The sequence below is a fragment of the Homo sapiens genome, chromosome 14 (genome assembly GCF_000001405.40).
Source record: "Homo sapiens chromosome 14, GRCh38.p14 Primary Assembly".
Lineage (NCBI taxonomy): Eukaryota > Metazoa > Chordata > Mammalia > Primates > Hominidae > Homo > Homo sapiens.
Window position 1 is genome coordinate 35,179,325 of NC_000014.9, and position 22,765 is coordinate 35,202,089.

At 38.6% G+C, this 22,765-nt stretch overlaps 1 protein-coding gene and 1 long non-coding RNA gene across 10 annotated transcripts in view; both read left to right on the forward strand.

Moving 5' to 3' along the window:
* PRORP-PSMA6 (PRORP-PSMA6 readthrough) overlaps window positions 1–22,765 on the forward strand; it is a 195,633-nt gene that overhangs the window by 57,486 nt on the left and 115,382 nt on the right. For all 4 annotated transcript variants that reach the window (NR_182666.1, NR_182669.1, NR_182668.1 and 1 more), the window contains one exon: window positions 1,346–1,453. This is a non-coding gene — a long non-coding RNA (PRORP-PSMA6 readthrough). The remainder of the gene's footprint in view (window positions 1–1,345; window positions 1,454–22,765) is intronic.
* PRORP (protein only RNase P catalytic subunit) overlaps window positions 1–22,765 on the forward strand; it is a 155,784-nt gene that overhangs the window by 57,486 nt on the left and 75,533 nt on the right. For all 6 annotated transcript variants that reach the window (NM_001414503.1, NM_001256680.2, NM_001256681.2 and 3 more), the window contains one exon: window positions 1,346–1,453. In NM_001414503.1, coding sequence (NP_001401432.1) covers window positions 1,346–1,453 — 108 coding nt within the window. The remainder of the gene's footprint in view (window positions 1–1,345; window positions 1,454–22,765) is intronic.

The following is a 22,765-nucleotide window of genomic DNA, read 5'->3' on the forward strand; positions in this document are numbered from 1 at the left end:
TGCAGTGTTTTCCAACTTGGTTCCATTCTCCCTGTCACTTTCAGGTACACCAATCAGACATAGATTTGGTCTTTTCATATAGTCCCATATTTCTTGGAGGCTTTGTTCATTTCTTTTTCCTCTTTTTTCTCTAAACTTCTCATCTTGCTTCATTTCATTCATTTCATCTTCCATCACTGATACCCTTTCTTCCAGTTGATCGAGTCGGTTACTGAAGCTTGTGCATTCGTCACGTAGTTCTCGTGCCATGGTTGTCAGCTCCATCAGGTCATTTAAGGACTTCTCTACACTGGTTATTCTAGTTAGCCATTCATCTAATCTTTTTTAAAGGTTTTTAGCTTCTTTGCAATGGGTTCGAACTTCCTTCTTCAGCTTAGAGAAGTTTGATCGTCTGAAGCCTTCTTCTCTCAACTCATCAAAGTCATCGCAAAGCTTTGTTCTGTTGCTGGCGAGGAGCTGCGTTCCTTTGGAGGGGGAGAGGTGCTCTGATTTTTAGAATTTTCAGCTTCTCTGCTCTGTTTTTTCCCCATCTTTATGGTTTTATCTACCTTTGGTCTTTGATGATGTTGACAGACAGATGGGGTTTTGGTGTGGAAGTCCTTTCTGTTTGTTAATTTTCCTTCTGACAGTCAGGACCCTCAGCTGCAGGTCTGCTGGAGTTTGCTGGAGGTCCACTCCAGACCCTGTTTGCCTGGGTATCAGCAGCGGAGGCTGCAGAACAGCGAATATTGCTGAACAGCAAATATTGCTGCCTGATCGTTCCTCTAGAAGCTTCGTCTCAGGGGTACCCGGCCGTGTGAGGTGTCAGTCTGCCCCTACTTGGGCTACTCGGGGGTCAGGGACCCACTTGAGGAGGCAGTCTGTCCATTCTCAGATCTCAAACTCCGTGCTGGGAGAACCACTGCTCTCTTCAAAGCTCAGTTGAAAGTGCAGAAATCACCCATCTTCCGCATCGCTCACGCTGGGAGCCGTGGACTGGAGCTGTTCCTATTCGGCCATCTTGGAACCGCCAGTTCATTCTTATCATAACTATCATGTGGGTTAATTTAGAAGTCTAGATAGGCCAGCTGCAGATCAAATGAAATTACATATGAAAGTGCTTTGTGCAGTATAAAGCACTATGAGATTATAGAGTGTATTGGATAATTGTATGCAGTTGCATCCATTAGACTGGCTTTTTCAGATTTCATTTGTAGAGTATCTGTGTGTGTGTGTGTGTGTGTGTGTATTTTTAAGGGATGAATATTTTGAATTATCAAAACAATAATAAAGGTCACTGCAGTGTGTTTATAATAAAGTCCTTACTGAGTTCTTATTAATGTTTTGTCTGACATTTCTTTATTAGGAACTTAAGAGATTTGAGAACTTCATAAAATCTCGTCCTCCTTTTGATGTTGTCATTGATGGTCTCAATGTTGCCAAAATGTTTCCTAAAGTTCGTGAATCTCAACTTGTAAGTATAAGTTTTACTTTGTTATTCCACATCTCTAGAAATATTTATTATACCCATTTATGACCTTCTTGGGGCTCTTAGCTCCTCAGTTTTTCTTCCTCTAAAACTAAGGTCTTCAGGGTGCCACAGTGACCAACTGCATGCTCCCCTAAGATTTACTATTTTCATCACTAATAAGTCGCTCTTCAAGGCTGGGAGAAAACAATTAAAAGTGAGGAATTAAAAGAAAGATTGCAATACAGGGCCAGATTTTCCCGTTTCGTGTAACCTTTAGCTAACCTTCTCCTGGGTCTCTGCTTTCTCTTTGGGGTCGCTCTGTCATTTCCCTTTGGGTCATATCCTTATATTTGAAAATTATCAATATACAATATCAAGAGATATTAATCACTCATTACTCACATTTGTTTTTTCCAAACATAGTATGTTCATAAATTAACCTAAGCAGTTTTTTTTTCTATATGGTAGCCATTTGTTAATTTATAAATGCCCTACTAGTTTCTAATAAGACTATCATTTTTCATAGCTGCAATTAACAGTTACTTTAATCTCTATTTTGTAGATTAAAAAATTGAGGCTAATTTTGTATAGTAAATCTATAGAAAACAGTCATAACATCAAAATTAGATTGTAGAGAGCTCCTGGGTTTCAGACTTGTGGCTCTTATCATTGGCAATCTATAGCCATTCATCTGTAATTAAACTATTTCTTAAAAATTGCTGCCGCTGGCTGGGCACAGTGGCTCATGCCTGTAATCCCCAGCACTTTGGGAGGCCAAGGTGGGTGGATCATCAGAGGTCAGGTGTTCAAGAGCAGCCTGGCTAACATGGTGAAACCCTGTCTCTACTAAAAATACAAAAATTAGTTGGGCATGGTGGCATGTACCTGTAATCCCAGCTACTCGGGAGGCTGAGGCAGGAGAATTGCTTGAACCTGGGAGGCGGAGGTTGCAGTGAGCCGAGGTCGTGCCATTGCACTCCAGCCTGGGCAACAAGAGCAAAACTGTCTCAAAAAAAAAAAAAAAAAAGTAATGATAAAAAGAGTAGTAAAATACATATATATTATTTTTATATTTGAAATTGAAGCATATGTAAAGTTGAGGAACCCTAATGGGAAGAATAGAAAAATTTGCTAGACAGTAAAAAACAAAACAAAACTGAACTAAAAAATATAAACACTGTTGAAAGACAACAAACTGCAAAATGTAGGCCAGGCATGGTGGGTCACACCTGTAATCCCAGCACTTTGGGAGGCTGAGGCGGGCAGATTGCCTGAGGTCAGGAGTTCGAGACCAGCCTGGCTAACATGGTGAAACCCCATCTCTACTAAAAATACAAAAAAATTAGCCGGGCATGATGGCGCACACCTGTAGTCCCAGCTACTTGGGAGGCTGAGGCAGGAGAATCACTTGAACCCGGAAGGCGGTGGTTTTAGTGAGCTGAGATCATGTCACTGCACTCCAGCCTCGGCAACAAAACAAGACTACATCTCAAAAAATAAAAAGTAAATAAAATGTTTACAATATGTGACAAAGAGCAAATTTCCTCACTGTATCAGGACTCATAAGCCTATAAGAAAAAGATGAACCGACTGGGCACGGTGGCTCACGCCTGTAATCCCAGCACTTTGGGAGGCCAAGGCGGGTGGATCACCTGAGGTCAGGAGTTGAAGACCAGCCTGGCCAACATGGTGAAACCCCATCTCTACTAAAAATGCAAAAATTAGCCGGGTGTGGTGGCAGGTGCCTGTAATCCCAGCTAGTTGGGAGGCTGAGTCAAGAGAATTGCTTGAACCCGGGAGGTGGAGGTTGCAGTGAGCTGAGATCTTGCCATTGCACTCCAGCCTGGGCGACAGAGTGAGACTCCTCGAAAACAAAAAAGAAAAAGATGACCCATGCAGTGGAATAGTGGTTTAATTTTACTTATATTTATAGATACACAGATTAAAATATTTATCTTCCAGATTGGTAAATCTTTAAAAGTTGGTAATATTCAGTGTTTAGAATAGTTTGAAGAGGTAGGAAGGATGATATCAGTGCGATATTTTTGGTGGATGATTTGTCTGTAACTTTCATTATCTAAAATACTGAAATTCTGCTTTTAGGAACTGACATAGTAACACTAGTACATAAAGAAATGTATTCAAATGTGTTCATTATTGCATTATTGGTGAGCAGAAAAATCTAAACAACCTAAATATCTATCAATCTTAAGCCCGATACATATTTAAATATTAATTTTTGTGAATAAGGTAAACCAATATGTGCTGCTGTGGAACAGTTGTCAGAATATAAGTGTAAGAAGCAAAATGAAAAACAACATGCTTAGAATTGCTCTATTTATATTAAAAACAAAGCAAAAAATTATCCATGTATAGATAAATGTTTGTTAGATAAGTTTGTGTGTGTATGCCCAAAAAATTTCTAGAAGTTTAACACATACATACATACACACACACACACACACGCACACACACACAATTTAACAGTGTAGTTACCTTTGGGAATTGGGGATAGAATACTGTATAAGAGAATTGAGAGGACTTCTGGTTTTTGTTCACGTTTTTTGAATTTTCTTTTACCATGAGTATATATTACTTAAAAATTTTAAAAATATCAGGAAAGGAAAAAAGTTAAAAAGCATTCTTGATAAATATTTTAAAATAATTTTGTAATACTCTGTGTCTTGTGGATGTACAATAATTTTTAAATCATTTACCTGTTGTTAGACAAATGAGGCTTTCCATTTTTCACTATAATAAGTAATACTTGGAAGACAGCCTCTGTGCATGTTTCATAGGATGTCTTTGGAATAGATTTTGAGAAACTGGACTCTTTAGTCAAAGGGTATATATATTTTTAAAGATCTCACTATATATTGCCAAATTGCTTTCCAAAATGATTGTAGTAATTTATACTACCACCAAAAGTGTATAATGGTGCCTAAATATAACACATTTCTTTAAGGTTACTTATTACATGATTGTTTCAGCCACTCACCTATGCCATGAGTCCGCTAAGTGAAAAGGGCTGGATGGTTTCTTCCCCATTTTTTAGGTCAAACAGATTTTTTTAAATTGTGGGACAAACTTTAATGAAATAGTTCCAGAAAGGGAATATTCTTCACTGTCTTTTCTGTCTTCCTTATCTTTCTCTTAATACAATTACCTATAAGTGTACATAAAGGAAAAATTAGGAATTCGAAGTTCTATAAGTTTTAAGTTTTTTCCATCTTTGAAGAGATTTCCAGACTTTTTGTCTGTGGAGTGATGTACATATTATTTATGCTCTTCCTATAAACTCTCTGCATTATACATTACACATTTTTCTCGGTCCTTTTACATTAATGGTTGATTATATATCTAGTATTCTCTGTAAGTTCATTAATGAGAAGATAACTTTTTTACATTCATTGTTTATGGAATAGCACCATTATCACATATCTTGATCTCAGAGCCTATAGCTTAAGGGTGATAGAGATTAAGGAACTAAAAAAAGAAAGTTCTAGTTGTAAATGTATTTTATTTTCTCAATTTTCAAATGAATCTTTTTTATATTTTAACTTTTCTGAAGTCTATGTTATAATTCATGTCAGTAGAAACTTGCCAGCCACCATGTAGAGATTTATTGGTGACTGTCATTGCCTGGGTGTGTACAGAATTAGCTATACATTGCCACCTCAGTTGAATTAGTTATATTCGTAGCTCCACACACTGTTACACTGTTTAATTTTAACCTAAATCTTTTTTAAAAAACTTTTATTTTAAGCTTGGGGGTACATGGGAAGGTTTGTTACATACATAAACATTTGTCAAGGGGGTTTGTTATACATATTATTTCATCACCCAGGTATTAAGCCCAGTACTCAATAGTTAATCTTTTCTGCTCCTCTGCCTTCTCCCACACTCCCCGCTCAAGTAGACCCCAGTGTCTGTTGTTTCTTTATTTGTGTTCATAAGCTTTTATAATTTAGTTCCCACTTATAAGTGAGAACATGTAGTATTTGGATGTCTGTTTCTGCATTAGTTTGCTAACGATAATAGCCTCCATCTCCATCCATGTTCCTACAAAAGACATGATCTCATTCTTTTTTTGGCTGCATAGTACTCCATGTTGTATATGTGCCACATTTTCTTTATCCAATCTGTCATTGATGGGCATTTAGGTTGATTCCATGTCTTTGCTATTGTTAATAGTACTGCAGTGAACATTCATTTGCATGTGTTTTTATGGTAGAATGATTTCTACTCATCTGGGTATATGCTCAGTAATGGGATTGCTGGGTTGAATGGTAGTTCTGCTTTTAGCACTTTGAGAAATTGCCATACTGCTTTCCACAATGGTTAAACTCATTTACACTCCCACCAACAGTGTATAAGTGTTCCCTTTTCTCTGCAACCTCACCAGCATGTATTATTTTTTGACTTTTCCATAATAGCCATTCTGACTGGTGTGAAATGGTATCTCACTGTGGTTTTGATTTGCATTTCTCTAATGATCAGTGATATTGAGCTTTTTTTCATATGCTTGTTGGCCACATGTTTGTCTTCTTTTGTGAAGTTTTTGTTCATGTCCTTTGCCCACTTTTTAATGGGATTGTTTTTCTCTTGTAAATTTGTAGTTTTAACCTAAATCTTAACTTTAAATATTTGCCAAAGGTTTCCTGACAATGTAATAAAAGACAGTGGAAGTTGCTTTTCTAAGACTAAGGTACAGAATTTTAAAGCAAGAAGAGGTTGTTATGACTGATTTTTGCATTTTGAAAAGTTGCCACTGAGCCTGCAAACTTCCACCTGCCAATACCTTCCCATAGACATTCAAGCAAAGTTGACTAACTTCCAGAATGGCATAATTCAAAGAAAGAAAAAGCAATAATCAGATGTGAAATACAGGTAAACTCCAGTATTTTTCAACCTTAGTGTCATGCTGTTGGTCCTAAAAGTGTTATAAAAGTGAAGATGAATAGCACAGGCTCTAAGGAGAGTGGTGTGTAATATGTCACCATGAGGATGTACAGAACTGTTATGGCCAAAAGTGATTTAGAACAGAACAGCCTTCAATTCAGATATGAAAGTGTATACTTACATGTTAATTGTGATTCCAAAACAAGATTATGGTATGAACTATATGGATTAATGTACAATTTTGTTGGTTACTGAAATAGTATACTTTTTTGTTTGTTTTTTTGCTTAAAAGTTATTTATTCCTAAACCAGTGTTTCATCTTACAGTTTCTGGAATGTTAATAATGAGGAAGTATGATTACAAGATGTGCTAAGTGGAACTGGGGACTATAAAGTCCCTGGGCTCAAGACACCCCCCAACCTCAGCCTTCTGAGTAGCTGGGACTACATACACATGCCACCAAGTCCAGCTAATTTTTTTTTTTTTTTTTTGTGGAGACGGGGTTTTGTCATGTTGCCCGGGCTGGTCTTGAACTCCTGGGCTTAAGTTGCCTGCTGTGGCCTCCCAAAGTGTTGGGATTACAGGTATAAACCACCATGCCGCCTAGATTTTGCTTTTGGCACAATTGGAGACTTGGCCAAGTCATGTCTCAATTCTTTAATGGTTGTATTTTTTTTTCTTTTTTATTGAGAAATATAATATTTATATAACATAATATTCACCCTTTTAAAGTGCACAATTCAGTGGTTTTTACTGTATTCACAAAGTTTTGCAATCATCACCACTATCCTATTCCAGGACATTTTCATTTTTCTTGAAGAAGCCTCATACCCATTAGCACTAACTCCCAGTTTCTTCCTCCCATTGGTCCCTGGCAACCACTAGTCTTCATTCTGTCTTTTCCTTTTTTCTTTCATTTTCTTTTTTTTTTTCTTTTGAGACAGGTACTTGTGTTGCCCAAGCTGGAGGGTAAGGGTGCAGTCATATCTCACTGCAGGCTTGACCTCCTGGGCTCAAGTGGTCCTCTGCCTCAGCCTTCCAAGTAGCTAGAACTGCAGGCACACACCACCAGGCCCAGCTAATTTTATTATTATTATTATTATTTTTCATAGAAACAGGGTCTCACTGTGTTGCTCAGGCTGGTCTTGAACTCCTGGCCTCAGGCAGTCCTCCCAAAGTGCTGGGATTACAGGACTGAGCCACCATGTCTGGCCTTCTTTCTATCTTTATGAATTTACCTATTCCAGACATTTCATATTTTCACTTAGCATAGTGTTTCAAAGTTCATCCATTTTGTAGCAGGAATCAGTATTTCATTCCCTTTTATTGCCAAATCGTGTTCCATTGTATGGATATGCCACATTTTATTTATTTGTTCTGTAGTTGATGGACCTTTGGGTTGTTACCACTTCTTGGCTATTATGAGTAATGCTACTATGAACATTTAGGCACAAGTTTTTGTGTGGACATATGTTTTCATTTCTTTTGGCTATATACCTAGGAGTAGAATTGGTGGGTCATATGATAACTCTGTGTTTAATCTTTTGAACTTCCCAACTGTTTTCCAAAGCATCTGCACCATTTTGCATTCTCATCAGCTGTGTATAAAGGTTCCAATGTCTCCACATCCTCACGAACACTTGTTATTTGTCTTTTTGATTATAGTCATCCTAGCAGGTGTGAAGTGGTATCTTTTTTTGTTTGTTTTGGTCATGTAAGAAATGCAGGACCTGGTATATTGTAGTTTCTTTGTTTTTTTTTTTTTTTTAGATGGAGTCTCACTGTCACCGAAGCTGGAGTGCAGTGGCATGATCTCAGCTCACTGCAACCTCTGCCTCCTGGGTTAAGCAATTCTCGTGGCTCAGACTCCTGAGTAGCTGGGACTGCAGGTGTGCACCACCATGCCTGGCTAATTTTTTTTTTTCGTATTTTTAGTAGAGACGGGTTTTCGCCATGTTGGCCAGGTTGGTCTCAAAGTCCTGACCTCAGGTGATCTGCCTGCCTTGGCCTTCCAAAGTGCTGGGATTACAGGCGTGAGCCACCGCACCTGGCCCAGTATCTTGTAGTTTTGATTTGCATTTGTTAATGATGCATGATGTTGAATATCCTTTAATATATTTAATGGCCATTTGTATATCTTCTTTGAAGAAATGTATATTTATTTTCTTTTCTTTTTTTTTTTATTTTTTGAGACAGAGTCTCGCTTTGTCGCCCAGGCTGGAGTGGTGCAGTGGTGCGATCTCGGTTCACTACAACCTCCACCTCCTGGGTGCAAGCGATTTTCCTGCCTCAGCCTCCTGAGTAGCTGGGATTACAGGCACGGCCACCACACCTGGCTAATTTTTGTGTTTTTATTAGAGACAGGGTTTCACCATGTTGTTCAGGCTGGTCTTGAACACCTGACCTCAGCCTCCCAAAGTGTGGGGCTTATGGGCATGAGCTACCGTGCCTGGCCAGAAATGTCTATTTCTTTGCCCATTTTTAATTGTTTTTTATTATTATTGTTGAGTTGTAATTTTTTTTTTTTTTTTTGAGACAGAGTCTCGCTCTGTTGCCCAGGCTGGAGTGCAGTGGCATGATCTCGGCTCACTACAACCTCCACCTCCCGGGTTCAAGCGATTCTCCTGCCTTAGCCTCCTGAGTAGCTGGGATTATGGGCGTGCACCACTATGGCTGGCTCTTTTTTGTATTTTTGGTAGAGATGGGGTTTCACCATGTTGGTCAGGCTGGTCTCGAACTCCTGACCTCGTGATCTGCCCGCCTCGGCCTCCCAAAGTGCTGGGATTACAGGTGTGAGCCATCACACCCAGCTAAGTTATAATTTTTAACTATATACCAAATACTAGATCTTTATCAGATATATAATCTCTAAGTATTTTCTCCCAGGCTTTGGATTCTCTTTTCGGTGTTTTGATGATATCCTTTGAGGCATGGAAGTTTTAGTTTTGATGAAGTCCAATTTATTTTTTCTTTTGTTGCCTGTGCTTTTGGTGTCTAATCTAAGAAATCATTGCCTAAGAGCCGGGCGCCGTGGCTCACGCCTGTAATCCCAGAACTTTGGGATGCCAAGACAGGCAGATCACGAGGTCAAGAGATCAAGACCATCCTGGCCAACATGGTGAAACTCTGTCTCTATTAAAAATACAAAAATTAGCTGGGTGTGGTGGTGGGTGCCTGTAGTACCAGCTACTCGGGAGGCGGAGGTTGCAGTAAGCTGAGATCGTACCACTGCACTCCAGCCTGGCGACAGAGCAAGACTCTGTCTAAAAAAAAAAAAAAAAAAAAAAAGTATTGCCTAATCCAAGGTCATGAAGATTAATGCCTATGTTTCTTCTAAGAGTTTTATAGTTTTAGTTCTTGCAGTTACAGAGTTTGCATTGTTAGGGAAATAGTTCAATCTTGAGTACCTGATAAACCAACATAATTTAGAATATAGTGAGATTAAAGGGGACTAACCTTCACCCTATTTATTTGTTTAACCTGTAAATCTAGGCAGACTAAGTCTTACTACTTTTCTTGTAGATGTTTTTCAACTGTAAATTGTATTTTGCTTAAAGTATTTTTGTTGTTGTTGTTTTTAGAGATGGGGCCTTGCCATGTTGTCCAGGCTAGTCTCAAACCCCTGGGCTCAAGTGATCCGCCTGCTTCAGCCTCCCAAAGTGTTGGGATTATGGGTGTGAGCCATGGTGCCCAGCCTGCATAAAGTAATATATTTCCCTGGTTTCAATTTTTCAGAAAAAGAAAAATTCTGAGCTTTTTTTTTTTTTTTTTAAAGAAGAGGGAAGGATTCTGAGTGACTAGCAGATTGATTATATAGCCTGCCTTTTAAGAAGAACAGTTACAGAAACTTGGCAGGGAATTATTAGGTTGATTCAATTACTGTTTCTTGAGCACCCATTCCAAGCCAGATACTGTTTTAAGCTGTGAGGATATGACCATAGATCAATAACAGGAATGCTAGCCACAAGGTTAGGCTAATGATTGTGTTATCTAAACAAGAAATGCATATTGTGTATTCTGTTGTCTATTAACAATGATTCTTGTGTTCGTGCATGACTCTTTTCATTAAAGATTTACTTGAATTGTCAGAATAGAAAATAGTATTTACCCAAAATACATGAGATAAAATTTTTTTAAAAAATAAGCATAGCAGGCTGGGCATAGTGTCTCATGCCTGTAATTCCAGCACTTTGGGAGGCTGTGGCGGGTGGATCAAGAGGTGAGAAGTTCAAGACCAGCCTGGCCAAGATGCTGAAACCCTGTCTCTACTAAAAATACAAAAATTAGCTGGGTGTGGTGGCACTTTCCTGTAATCTCAGCTACTCGGGAGGCTGAGGCAGGAGAATCGCTTGAACCCGGCAGCAGAGGTTGCAATGAGCTGAGATTGCGCCACTGCACTCCAGCCTGGGTGACAGAGTGAGACTCCGTCTTAAAAAAAAAGGCTGGGCGCAGTATCTCATGCCTGTAATCCCAGCACTTTGGGAGGCCGAGGTGAGTGGATCATCTGAGTTCAGGAGTTCAAGACCAGCCTGGCCAACATGGCGAAACCCTGTCTCTATTAAAAATACAAAATTAGCCGGGCGTGGTGGTGCATGCCTGTAATCCCAGCTACTCGGGAGGCTGAGGCAGGAGAATCGCTTGAATCCAGGAGGCAGAGGTTGCAGTGAGTCGAGATCGAGCCATTGCACTCCAGCCTGGGCAACAAGAGTGAAACTCTGTCTCAAAAAGGAAAAAAAAAAAAGTATTGCAAAATGGTCTAGTAACATTTAAATCTCCAGAGTATGTTGTAATTTTGAAGAAACTATGACTAAATTTATTTTATTATTTTTATTTATTTTTATTTTTTTGAGATGGAGTCTTGCTCTGTCACCCAGGCTGGAGTGCAGTGGCATGATCTTGGCTCATTGCAACCTCCGCCTCCGGAGTTCAAGCAATTCTCCTGCCTCAGCCGCCTGAGTAGCGGGGATTACAGGCACGTGCCACCACGTCTGGCTAATTTATGTATTTTTAGTAGAGGCGGGGTTTCACCATGTTGGCCAGGATGGTCTCAATCTCCTGACCTCCTGATCCGACTACTTGGCCTCCCTAAGTGCTGGGATTACAGGCATGAGCCACCGCACCCGGCTGACTGTATTTAAAAGTATTAGTTATGGACCCTTACATACTACTTGAGTCAACTTTTATATAGCACTTGAACCAACATCTCTTCATCATAATCTGTTGCAAGATATTTTAGATTTTCTTGGATTGGATTTCTTTTTTCTTTTTTAATTTAATAAACTTAATTTTCCTAGAGCAGTTTTAGGTTCATGGATTTCTTTTTATGAACAACCATTTCCCAACATGTTATTTGGACTCTTACAAATACTTCTGAACAAAGCCAGGCATGGTAGCATGCACCTGTTATATGATTTGGCTATGTCTCCACCCAAATCTCATCTTGAATTGTAGCTCCCATAATTCCCACATGTTGTAGGAGGAACTTGGTGGGAGATAATTGAATCCTGGGGGCAGTTTCCCTCATACTGTTCTTGTGGTAGTGAAGAAGTCTTACAAGATCTGATGGTTTTATAAGAGGTTTCCCCTTTCACTTCTCTCATTCTCTCTTGCCCACCGCCATGTAAGACGTGCCTTTTACCTTCTGCCATGATTGTGAGGCCTCCCAAGCCACGTGGAACTGTGAGTCCATTAAACCTCTTTTTCATTATAAATTACCCAGTTTTGGGTATGTCTTTATCAGTAGCATGAAAACAGACTAATACAACCTGTAATCCCAGCACTTCAGGAGGCTGAGGCGGGAGAATCACTTGAGCCCAGGAGTACGAGACCAGCCTAGGCAACATAGCGAGACCCCATCTCTACAGAAGATCAAAAACATTAGCTGGATGTGATGGCATGCACCTGTGGTTCCAGCTTCTCAGAAGGCTGAGGCAGGAGGATTGCTTGAGCCCAGGAATTCGAGGCTGCAGTGAGGTGTGATCATGCCACTGCACTCCAGCCTGGACAACAGTCTCAAAAACCAAAACCAAAACCAAACCAAAACAAACAAACAAACAAAAAGAAACAAAAACTGGGGTGGGTAATTGGCACTACTATCCACCAAATTGCTCAAACCAAAAACCAAGGATTCCAGCCAGCCACAATTACTCTTTCTCACTACTCCTATATCCAGTAGACTGACAAGTTTTCTTGGTTTTAACCCCAGTAGACTGACAAGTTTTCTTGGTTTTAACCCCAGTAGACTGACAAGTTTTCTTGGTTTTAACCCCCCAAAATATCCCATAGTCTAGTCACTTCTTTCCATTTCCATTAACATCATCTCTCACCAAAACTCCTAAGTGGTCTCCTTGCTTTTTTCATGCTTGCCTCAATAACTTCCCTTTACACTTAGAATAAAATCCAAGTTCCTCATCGTGGATTATAGTAACTCTCATTATCTGGTCTTTGCCTCTCTTTTCAACCTCATCTGGTTTTTTCTCATTGTCTTTCACTGAATTGTAGGTACACTAGGATTTTTCCTGCCCCTCAAACATGCTGAATTTGTGCCTGCCTCCAAATCTTCGTACTTGCTATTTCTTTAATATTCTTCCATCTTCAAATGGCTGGATTATTATCAGCACCTCAAAGGTCTTTCTTGATTCTTCCAAAGTAACCTCATTCTGCCTAGTCACTTCTGTCTGTATTTTCAGTTACATCAGGATTGCCAAGTCTAGCCCAGGAACTAGAGATGAGTTTCAACATGGCAATGCAAAACTGTCTTTGCCTGGATTGTCTTTTTCAATATCAAGTTCCTTCATAGTAGTTTTTTGTGAAAAGAGACCATGCTGTTGTTGACCATTTATCCTAGAATGATCAGGGAGGGAATTCTAAAAGTCTCCATGACTCATACTTTACACATACCTTTGTAACTTCCATTTCAATAAATTAGGTTTTCTTTTCAGTTATCACTAATAATTGGTGCTGTGAGACCCCCTTGAGGAGGCAGGGACAACATAGTATAATAACTTTCCATTAAGAAAACAAAAGGAGGGGCCGGGCATGGTGGCTCACACCTGTACTGTAATCCCAGCACTTTGGGAGACCAAGGAGGGTGGATCACCTGAGGTCAGGCGTTCAAGACCAGCCTGACCAACACGGCGAAACCCTGTCTCTACTAAAAATACAAAAATTAGCCAGGCATGGTGGCGCGTGCCTGTAATCCCAGCTACTAGGGAGACTGAGGCAGGAGAATCGCTTGAACCCGGGAGCCAGAGGTTGAGTGAGCCTAGATTGTGCCACTACAGTCCAGCCTGGGTGACAGAGTAGAAAAAAAAAAAAAAGAAAAAGGATATGAAGTGGAAAGCTTCTAATGCTGCATTTTCTCTCTCATTCTCTCTTCCCCCACATACCTACCCATAATTCAGTCCTAATGCTTTTGTTCTTTGTTCCTTTTGCAGCTTGCATTTTGGATTTTCAGTGTTCATAAGCTCCTCTAATAGAAGATGTATGGGGGGAAAAGCACATCATTTTAGTTAATCATGCTAGTTCTTCAAAATTCTGCTCCCTATTTCTGTGGATAACTGAGAATTGGTTAAAATGGCTTCAGCAGAATGAAAATTTATAATGTAATTTAAAAGAATTATGGCTGACACCAGCACTGAATGCTTTCATTCTTATAGCATGCTTGGGGCATTGAATAGAAAGTGGTTTGGTGAAAACACTGTAGAATTTGTTTTGATTGCCATCTGTTAGTTGGTTTTACTACAGTGAGAGAAAAATAGAGGCACAAGTATTGGTCATTAAAGGTCATTTGGTAAAGTGTTTACTTGACAGTAAGTTCTTATTTTTTCTGCCACTCAAGTTATTTTATTTCTTTCTGTTGATTTACATAACCTCTTGTAAAAGTTTCAATACCATAAAGCACCTAAGATACAATAAACTATGCTCAGTATTTTTGTGTGTATATAATCCCGGGTGTATTTTTTTTTTTTTTTTGCCCCAACTGTAGAAATGTGAGTTTCTCGATCCCCATGCTTGAAATTATGTTTCAATAACGTTAAAGTGGGAAGGAAACTTAGAAATACCCTATTATGTTTACAATAGGAAATGTTAAATATTGAAGTAGAATTTTTATCATACCTCCTTGACTTTTAAATACTCTTTTCCATATAATTGTTTCTCCCGTTTAAAGACTCTCTCTTAACATCTGGCTTTAGAGGTAGAATGTCTTGTCCCTTATGTCCCAAAACTTGGGTGTCTTATTCACACTTGGGTGTCCTTCTTTGAAGAACATACTGTCTTCATGTCTGCTCTGAGAAGCTGTTTGAGGAATTTTTTTTTCTTTTTCAAATATATATATGAGGAGCAGCATATTAGAGTTTTTATGCATGGATTGAAAGTGGAGGGATGGGATTACTACTAGAGGCAGGTATGCTTACATTAGGGAGAAGAGAGAGACTGCTGTCCAGGTTGAAAGAAAAATGCTGCCATAAGAAGTCAAAAAGTCCTTCACTTCCCTTGTAAGTTGTATTCCTAGGTATTTTACTCTCTTTGTAGCAATTATGAATGAGAGTTCACTCATGATTTGGCTCTCTGTTTGTCTATTATTGGTGTACAAGAATGCAACCCAAATGCTCATCAGTGATAGACTGGATAAAGAAAATGTGGCATATATACACCATGGAATACTATACAGTCATAAAAAAGGATGAGTTCATGTCCTTTGCAGGGACATTGGGAAAGCTGGAAACCATCATTCTCAGCAAACTAACACAGGAACAGAAAACCAAACACCTCATGTCCTCACTCATAAGTACAAGATGAACAGTGAGAACACATGGACACAGGGAGGGGAGCATCACACACCAGGGCCTGTCGGGGGATGAGGGGCTAGGGGAGGGATAGCATTAAGAGAAATACCTAATGTAGATGACGGGTTGGTGGGTGCAGCAAACCACCATGGCACATGTATACCTATGTAACAAACCTGCACGTTTGGCACGTGTATCCCAGAACTTAAAGTATAATTAATTAATTTTTTTTTAAAAAGTCAAAAAGTGCAACCTTCTGGATCCAGCTCAGCCTTCCAGCAAACAGCTCAGTAGCCTCAACAGCCATTACTGTATTAAAGAAAGTAGCATCCAATATATAATCTTCAAAATTATAAAGAAAGTCTTAAACTATGACTAGTATATCCTATTTCAAAAGATAGGCAAATTGTGATTTCTTTTTTGAAAATTTATAATTGTAAAGAAAATCGTAAATTGTAACTATCTGCATAATTAAGAAGGCAAGAAAATCATAATGCTTTTCAGAAAGTTCCTCTCACACATGATTTTGTTTTATTTATCTTGAAATTCATTTATATGAAACTTATATTTGAACAGTGTTCAGATAAATGTGGTATTAGCATATGCAGTGTTTTATTATATAAAATATTTTAATTATAGATATTAGAAAACATTAACTAGGCCATACTCTTTTATGCCATACGTGGGAATGTAAGTTAATTCAGCTTTATGGAGTCTGTTTGGTACTGTATCTATTCAAAATATACAGTGATGTATCAGTTCCACTTTCAGAAATCTGTTCTGCAGAAATATTTGCACAGGTACATAAAGATACATAATTTTCATTGTATCTCTGTAATAGCAAAAAATTGGAAATTATACAGAAGCCAACTGAGTACTGGAGGTGAGTTTACTGACATAGAAAGGTACCCATGATACATGAAAAAGACAAGTTGAAAACAAAATATACAGGATGATCCCATTTTTTGAAAATAAAAAAAAAATTACTGTGTGTGTTTTTATGTATATTCAGGGAAAAAAGCCTGGAAGTAGAAATTCTCCACTGACCAGTCACTTCTTCCTTTATATAGTTATGTATTTTTACAAATACTTTTTCTAGTTCTTTTTAAAAACTCACACATATTTTAAAGATAAGAAACTAAAATAAATCTTTAATGGTATAAACTTAAACACTAATGTTTCTGCTCTTCTGCAGAATATTAATTTTCAAACTTGAGTTTGAGAAACTCAAAAACAAGCAATTTTAGAAGTCAGATAGGTCTTTTAATGATTCTTAGGGTAGAAATCTATTTTTTTAACTATATATGTGAAACTTAGGAAACTGGAACTTAGTTCTAAGAGTGATATACTTCTTTCATTTTCAAAAAAGAAGCTTCTCATGTTTTCATAACCAACAGTTATGTTATCAAGGAGTTACTTTAGTATTATAATAGTTTAAATTACCTAGTTATGACTTTAAGAAACATATGTTAAGGAGTCCAAGGAGAATGTATAAATTGGGAAAAACCTCAGACTTAAAGTAATTATATGTAATATCAAAGCAATGTAATTGTAAGCTTCTCCCTAGGGAATCTGAAATATCCCCCAATAAATATCATCCAAACAAGTCACTGTTAATGTGGATTCTTGGAAGAAGATCTAAAAATAAATAAGTCAATAGAAATTATAAACTTGGGCTGTGAATCTTAAAACAACTAATCAGTTAGCAGCATTTAAGTGCTATTTCAGGCCAGGCATGGTGGCTCATACCTGTAATCCCAACACTTTGGGAGGCCGAGGTGGGAGGACCACTTGAGCCCAGGAGTTAGAGACCGGCCTGGGCAACATAGTGAGACCCCCCTGCCCCCTGCCATGTCTACGAAAAATAAATTTTTAAAAATAAGCTGGGTATGGTAGCACACACCTGTAGTCCCACCAACTCAGGAGGCTGAGGCGGGGGGAGGATCACTTGAGCCCTGGAGATCTAGGCTGCAGTGAGCCGTGATTGCGCTGATGCACTCCATCCTGGGTAACAGAGTGAGACCCTGTCTCAGAAAATAAATATTTTCATCACATGGGGAAAAGTAAATCTAATCATGACTCCTTAGTTTTAAGGAGTTACTGCTGGGTAGTCAAGGGTGATATAAGTGACTTGAGGAAACAAATTTGCATTAGTGGATGCCAATCCAGAATTCACTAAAGAACACAAAAGAATGGTTCTTGGGTTTTTTTCTTACTATTCATTTTTCATGACATGGCAACTCAGGGAAGTCATATTGCCCTAGGTCAAACAGTGCCAGGCTGACTACTTCCTTTTGTCATGTATCACTTCACCCACTCCTGCCTTGACATGTGTTAAGAGTTATGTTTTGTCATGTGACTGCTGGGATCGTCTGCATCACTCAGAATTATTCTTACCAACTGCTAATGAAGTTAATGATCAACTGTCAGGTGGGTTTTTAGTGAAGTGATCAAGGGCATAACTAGCAAGATGAATGGAGCCAGGCAAAATTTCTATAGTGATTTGGCTTCATAGTCCTTTCTTTTCAAATGTCCCAGAAAGGAACATTCTGCATAGTGTTTGAAACAAGATTTCCCCAATTGTTGTAGAAGTCAAGTGATCCAGTGTCTTTGAACAGCATTAAAAACACTGTGTTGCCAAGCTCCCATATCTTTTCTCTCTCTGGCAAAATCCTAATAGCAAGTTGATTTCCCATCACTGATGTGTCATTGATAATGTCTGTGTGATAACCATTTAGGGTGTGGTGAGATTGTCTCGTGAGTCATTATTGTGTATATCTTGCTTCCATCACAGTGTTTTAAAACACTCTCATTGAGAGTGTGGTAGGAAGAGGCCACTTATGAAAATATAATATCCATTTTAACAAGAAAAGTTTAAATATTTGTTGTCAGTAAGGTAAACAGCAATTGCAGAGTGAGTAGTAAATTTACTTAAACTGTTTATAAAGCTATATAAATTATTCTTACCTAATTATTACAGTGGTAACACTTTAATCATAATTTTCTGGTAATGTTTATTTTAAAACAGCATTTTTTTCCTTTTAAAATTGTTTCTGTTTCACAATTTTCACTAATATAAAGGCTGATTTTTATCCCAGTCAAATACGATTAAGATCAGTTGATTAAGATCAGTTCAGATCTTAGATTTCTTTTGCAGTGATTTAGACATGGCTTTTTTTCTAGATAGTATTAGGAAGGGTATATTGTTCCTTAGAGTATTCACTCTGCCAACTCAAGTGGATACTCCTTATTGGTATATTATTTCTACCCCATTTTGTCTTATGAAAGATGTAAGATGGTTATAATATATGTGATACAGAAAATAAAATAAATTTAAAATAAGTTAAAATAAAGTTAATGTAAAAAGGGTACAAAGGGAAAATAAGCTTAGGGAAATAAAAGGTTTAAGGTTGGTGCACAAAATGCATATGGTGAAGTGCTCTATTAATTTGGCTGTAAATTCTGTCAGCAAACCTGAAGATGATAACATGATCACTTAAGAGCAGGGGCTCATGCTTTTATCTGCTTGCACATCATTTGTAAGTACCTCACATTCTCATCATAAACATTTCTCTTTCCTAAAGAGATTCTCAAAGGAGGTAGGCTAAGAGCAGTAGCAGAAGGGAGAAATCAGAGCTTTGGAGAATGGGGAAATTTGAAGGAACACCCAATTCTGGTATATCTTCCAAAGGAGCTATTTCCACTATAAGACTCATTCATTTATAGGCTTCACATAATTCATAAGATTAAATAGAAACAAATTGTTCAGAGAATGTTCCATTATTCCTAATATTGAAACCAAAGGGATTTTTCCTGTGAACCCTCAGAGGGCAGGGCCATGTGGGCACTCTGAGTACTATTCACAACATTCTTGTTACGAACCGGTGAATGGATTGTGTAAGCATCAGCAGTAAAGGAGTCAGGAGAACAGTGGGTGAGCTTGAGAGAGGCTTCTGAAAGTACTAAACAGGCCTCAATACCTCAGCAATAACTAATGCTAGGAAGTTGGTGAGAAGACTAAATAGGAGGACTCCTGCCCTTTGACTCTTGGAAAATAAATTTTTAAGCTGATTTTTTCACTTCAGATCCATGGTAATCCACAGCAGGGCTAGACCTTGTTTTAAAATTTTATAATTATAATTTCATTTCAGTTCTTTAAAAGTTTGGTTACAAAAAGAAGCATATGTCCCTAATATTACTGCTGTGTAGTAAGCACTCTGAAGAGGTACTTATGTAAGTTCTAGTATCAGAATTGCCTTCGATGTCTGTTAAATAATTATAGTGAGGGCTGGGCGCAGTGGCTCACGCCTGTAATCCCAGCACTTTGGGAGGCTGAGCGGGCAGATCACGAGGTCAAGAGATTGAGACCATCCTGGCCAACATGGTGAAACCCCGTCTCTACTAAAAATACAAAAATTAGGCCGGGCGTGGTGGCTTACGCCTGTAATCCCAGCACTTTGGGAGGCCGAGGCAGGTGGATCACCTGATGTCAGGAGTTTGAGACCAGCCTGACCAACATGGCGAAACCCTGTTTCTACTAAAAATACAAAAAATTAGCTAGGCCTGGTGGCGGGCACCTGTAATCCCAGCTACTCCGGAGGCTGAGGCAGGAGAATTGCTTGAACCCGGGAGGCGGAGGCTGCAGTGAGCCGAAATCGTGCCATTGCACTCCAGCCTGGGCAACAAGAGTGAAACTCCTTTGAAAAAAAAAATACAAAAATTAGCTGGACATGGTGGTGCGTGCCTGTAGTCCCAGCTACTCGGGAGGCTGAGGCAGGAGAATCGCTTGAACCCGGAAGGCGGATGTTGCAGTAAGCCGAGATTGCACCACTGCACTCCAGCCTGGCGAGAGAGTGAGACTCCATCTAAAAAAAAAAAAAAAAAAAAAATTATAGTGAGTACTTGCTATAGTTTGAATGTGTCCACTCCACATTCATGTTGAAACTTAATTCTCAATTTCACAGTATTAAGAAGTGAGGCCTTTAGGAGGTGATTAGGTCATGAGGACTCTGCCCTCGTGGATGGGATTAGCACCCTTATAAAAGGGCTTGAGGGAGTGAGTTCAGCTCTTTTTGTCCTTCTGTTCCTTTTGCCTCACTGTGTGAGGACACAGTGTTCAAGGTGCCATCTTGGAAGCAGAGACCCAAGGTCTTCACCAGATACAGAACCTGCTGGCATCTTGATCTTAGAATTCCTAGCCTCCAGAACTCTGAAGAAACAAATTTCTGTTCTTTATAAATTACCTAGTTTCAGGTGTTTTGTGTGAACAGACTGAGACCGTAGTATTTCTTTAATGTGAAAAAAGAAGCTTGCAAAGTCAACCTGACATCATTTAGTTTAGTCAGTCTTACCTAGACTATAAATAAGTAGAAATTGCTTATGCATGTAAAGTTACAGAATTAATTGAAATGGAAACTTTCCAATTATAATAGGTCTCTCTTTCTCCATGTTATGTTATGAAAGCCTCTGTTATATCAGGAAAACCCCCTGAAAATTTTCTCATCTGTTGAGGAAAGAGATAACAGGTAATCTTATTGGGTTTAAGCTTGGAGGATAAATGGAAACAGCCATTCGTCTTCAAATGAACCAAAATAATCCTGCAAGATAAAAATACAGTATTTTAACAGTATTAATATTTTACCAAAAGAACTTGAAGGTGAAAATCCCAAAAGCCACGACAATTCCATGATTGTGAAAATATTAAGTATGCAAAATTTTTTGTTTGTTTGTTTGTTTTTTTCTTTTGAGACAGAGTCTCACTCTGTTGCCCAGGCTAGAGTGCTGTGGCACGATCTTGGCTCACTGCAACCTCCACCTCCCGGGTTCAAGCAATTCTCTGCCTCAGCCTCCCGAGTAGCTGGCATTACAGGCACCCACCACCACGCCCAGCTAATTTTTGTATTTTTAGTAGAGGCAGGGTTTTACTATCTTGGCCAGGCTGGTCTTGAACTCCTGACCTCGTGATCTGCCCACCTTGGCCTCCCCAAGTGCTGGGATTACAGGTGTGAGCCACCGCGCCCGGCCTAAGTATGCAAAATTCTTAATTACTCTCCAGTATTTTGTTTTAGCATCTCCATTTCTTATATCTCATTTAAACTATTTTAAAATTAGTGTTATATTATTTTTATTAATAAAATAATTCTTCAGGAATAATTGACTTTTATGATATTTACTTATCCCATCTGAGAAAATTATATATATGTTATATATATAGTAGATTTTAAAGTTTTTTTACAATAAGACTTTTATTTTAGAAAAGTTATAAATTTATAGAAAAGTTTCAAAGATTAGTAGAGTTCTCATATACCCCACACCCAGTTTTTTCTATCACTAAGATATTAGTATGGTACATTTGTCAAAATTAGTGAACCAATATTGATATATTGCTATTAACTAAAGTCCATACTTTATTTAGATTTGCTTATTGTCCTTGTTCTCTTCTGGAATCCCATCCAGGATACCATATTACATTTAATCATTTTGTTTTTTTAGGCTTCTTGTTCCTATGACAGTCACTCAGACTTTTCTTCAGTTTTGATGAAGAAATTGACAATTTTGAGAATAATGGTCAAATATTTTGTAGAATGTCCCTCAATTGGGATTTTTATGTTGTGTTTTTCATAATTAGACTGCAGTTGTGGGTTTTGGGTAGGAAGACCACAGAGGCAAAATGCCATTCTCGTCATACCATATCAAAAGTAGATAGTATCAACATGACTTATCACTGTTGATGTTAACCTTGATCACCTGGCTAAGGAAGTTTTGTCAGCTTTCTCAACTGTAAAGTTACTCTTTTTTTTCCCCTTGCCATACTGTACTCTTCAGAAGGAAGTCACTATGTGCAGCCCTCAGTTAAAGAGCTGGCGGGAGGAGTTATGTTTCACTTCCTTGAGGGCAGAGTATTTACGTAAATTATTTGGAATTCTCCCCATGAAATTGTCTGTTCTACCTTATTTACTTATTTATTTATGGTAGTATGGACTCATGGATATTTATTTTTAGTACTTTGGGTTATAATCTAATACTGCTTATTTTGCTGCTCACAGTGTTCTACCTTTGGCCATTGCAAGCTTTTTGTTGCTGTAGGTGTTTTTTGTTTCTTTATTATTTTTTTTTAGTACTTCCTTACTCTCTGGCACTACAAAATGCCTCATTGTATACAAAATTTTATTTATTTATTTATTTATTTATTTAGAGACTGAGTCTCACTCTTATCACCCAGGCTGGAGTGCAGTGGTGCGATCTTGCAGTGGTGCGATCTTGGCTCACTGCAACCTCCGCCTCCCAGTTTAAGTGATTCTCATGCCTCAGCCTCCTGAATAGCTGGGATTGCAGGTGTGCACCACCACATCTGGCTAATTTTTGTATTTTTAGTAGAGATGGGGTTTCACTGTGTTGGTTAGGCTGGTCTCAAACTCCTGACCTCAGATGATCTGCCCACTTGGGCCTCCCAAGGTGCTGGGATTACAGGCATGAGTCACCGTGCCCCGCCACAAAATTATTATTATTTTTTTTTTTTTTTGAGACAGAGTCTCGACCTGTCACCCAGGCTGGAGTGCAGTGGTGTGATCTCGGCTCACTGCAAGCTCCACCTCCCAGGTTCACGCCATTCTCCTGCCTCAGC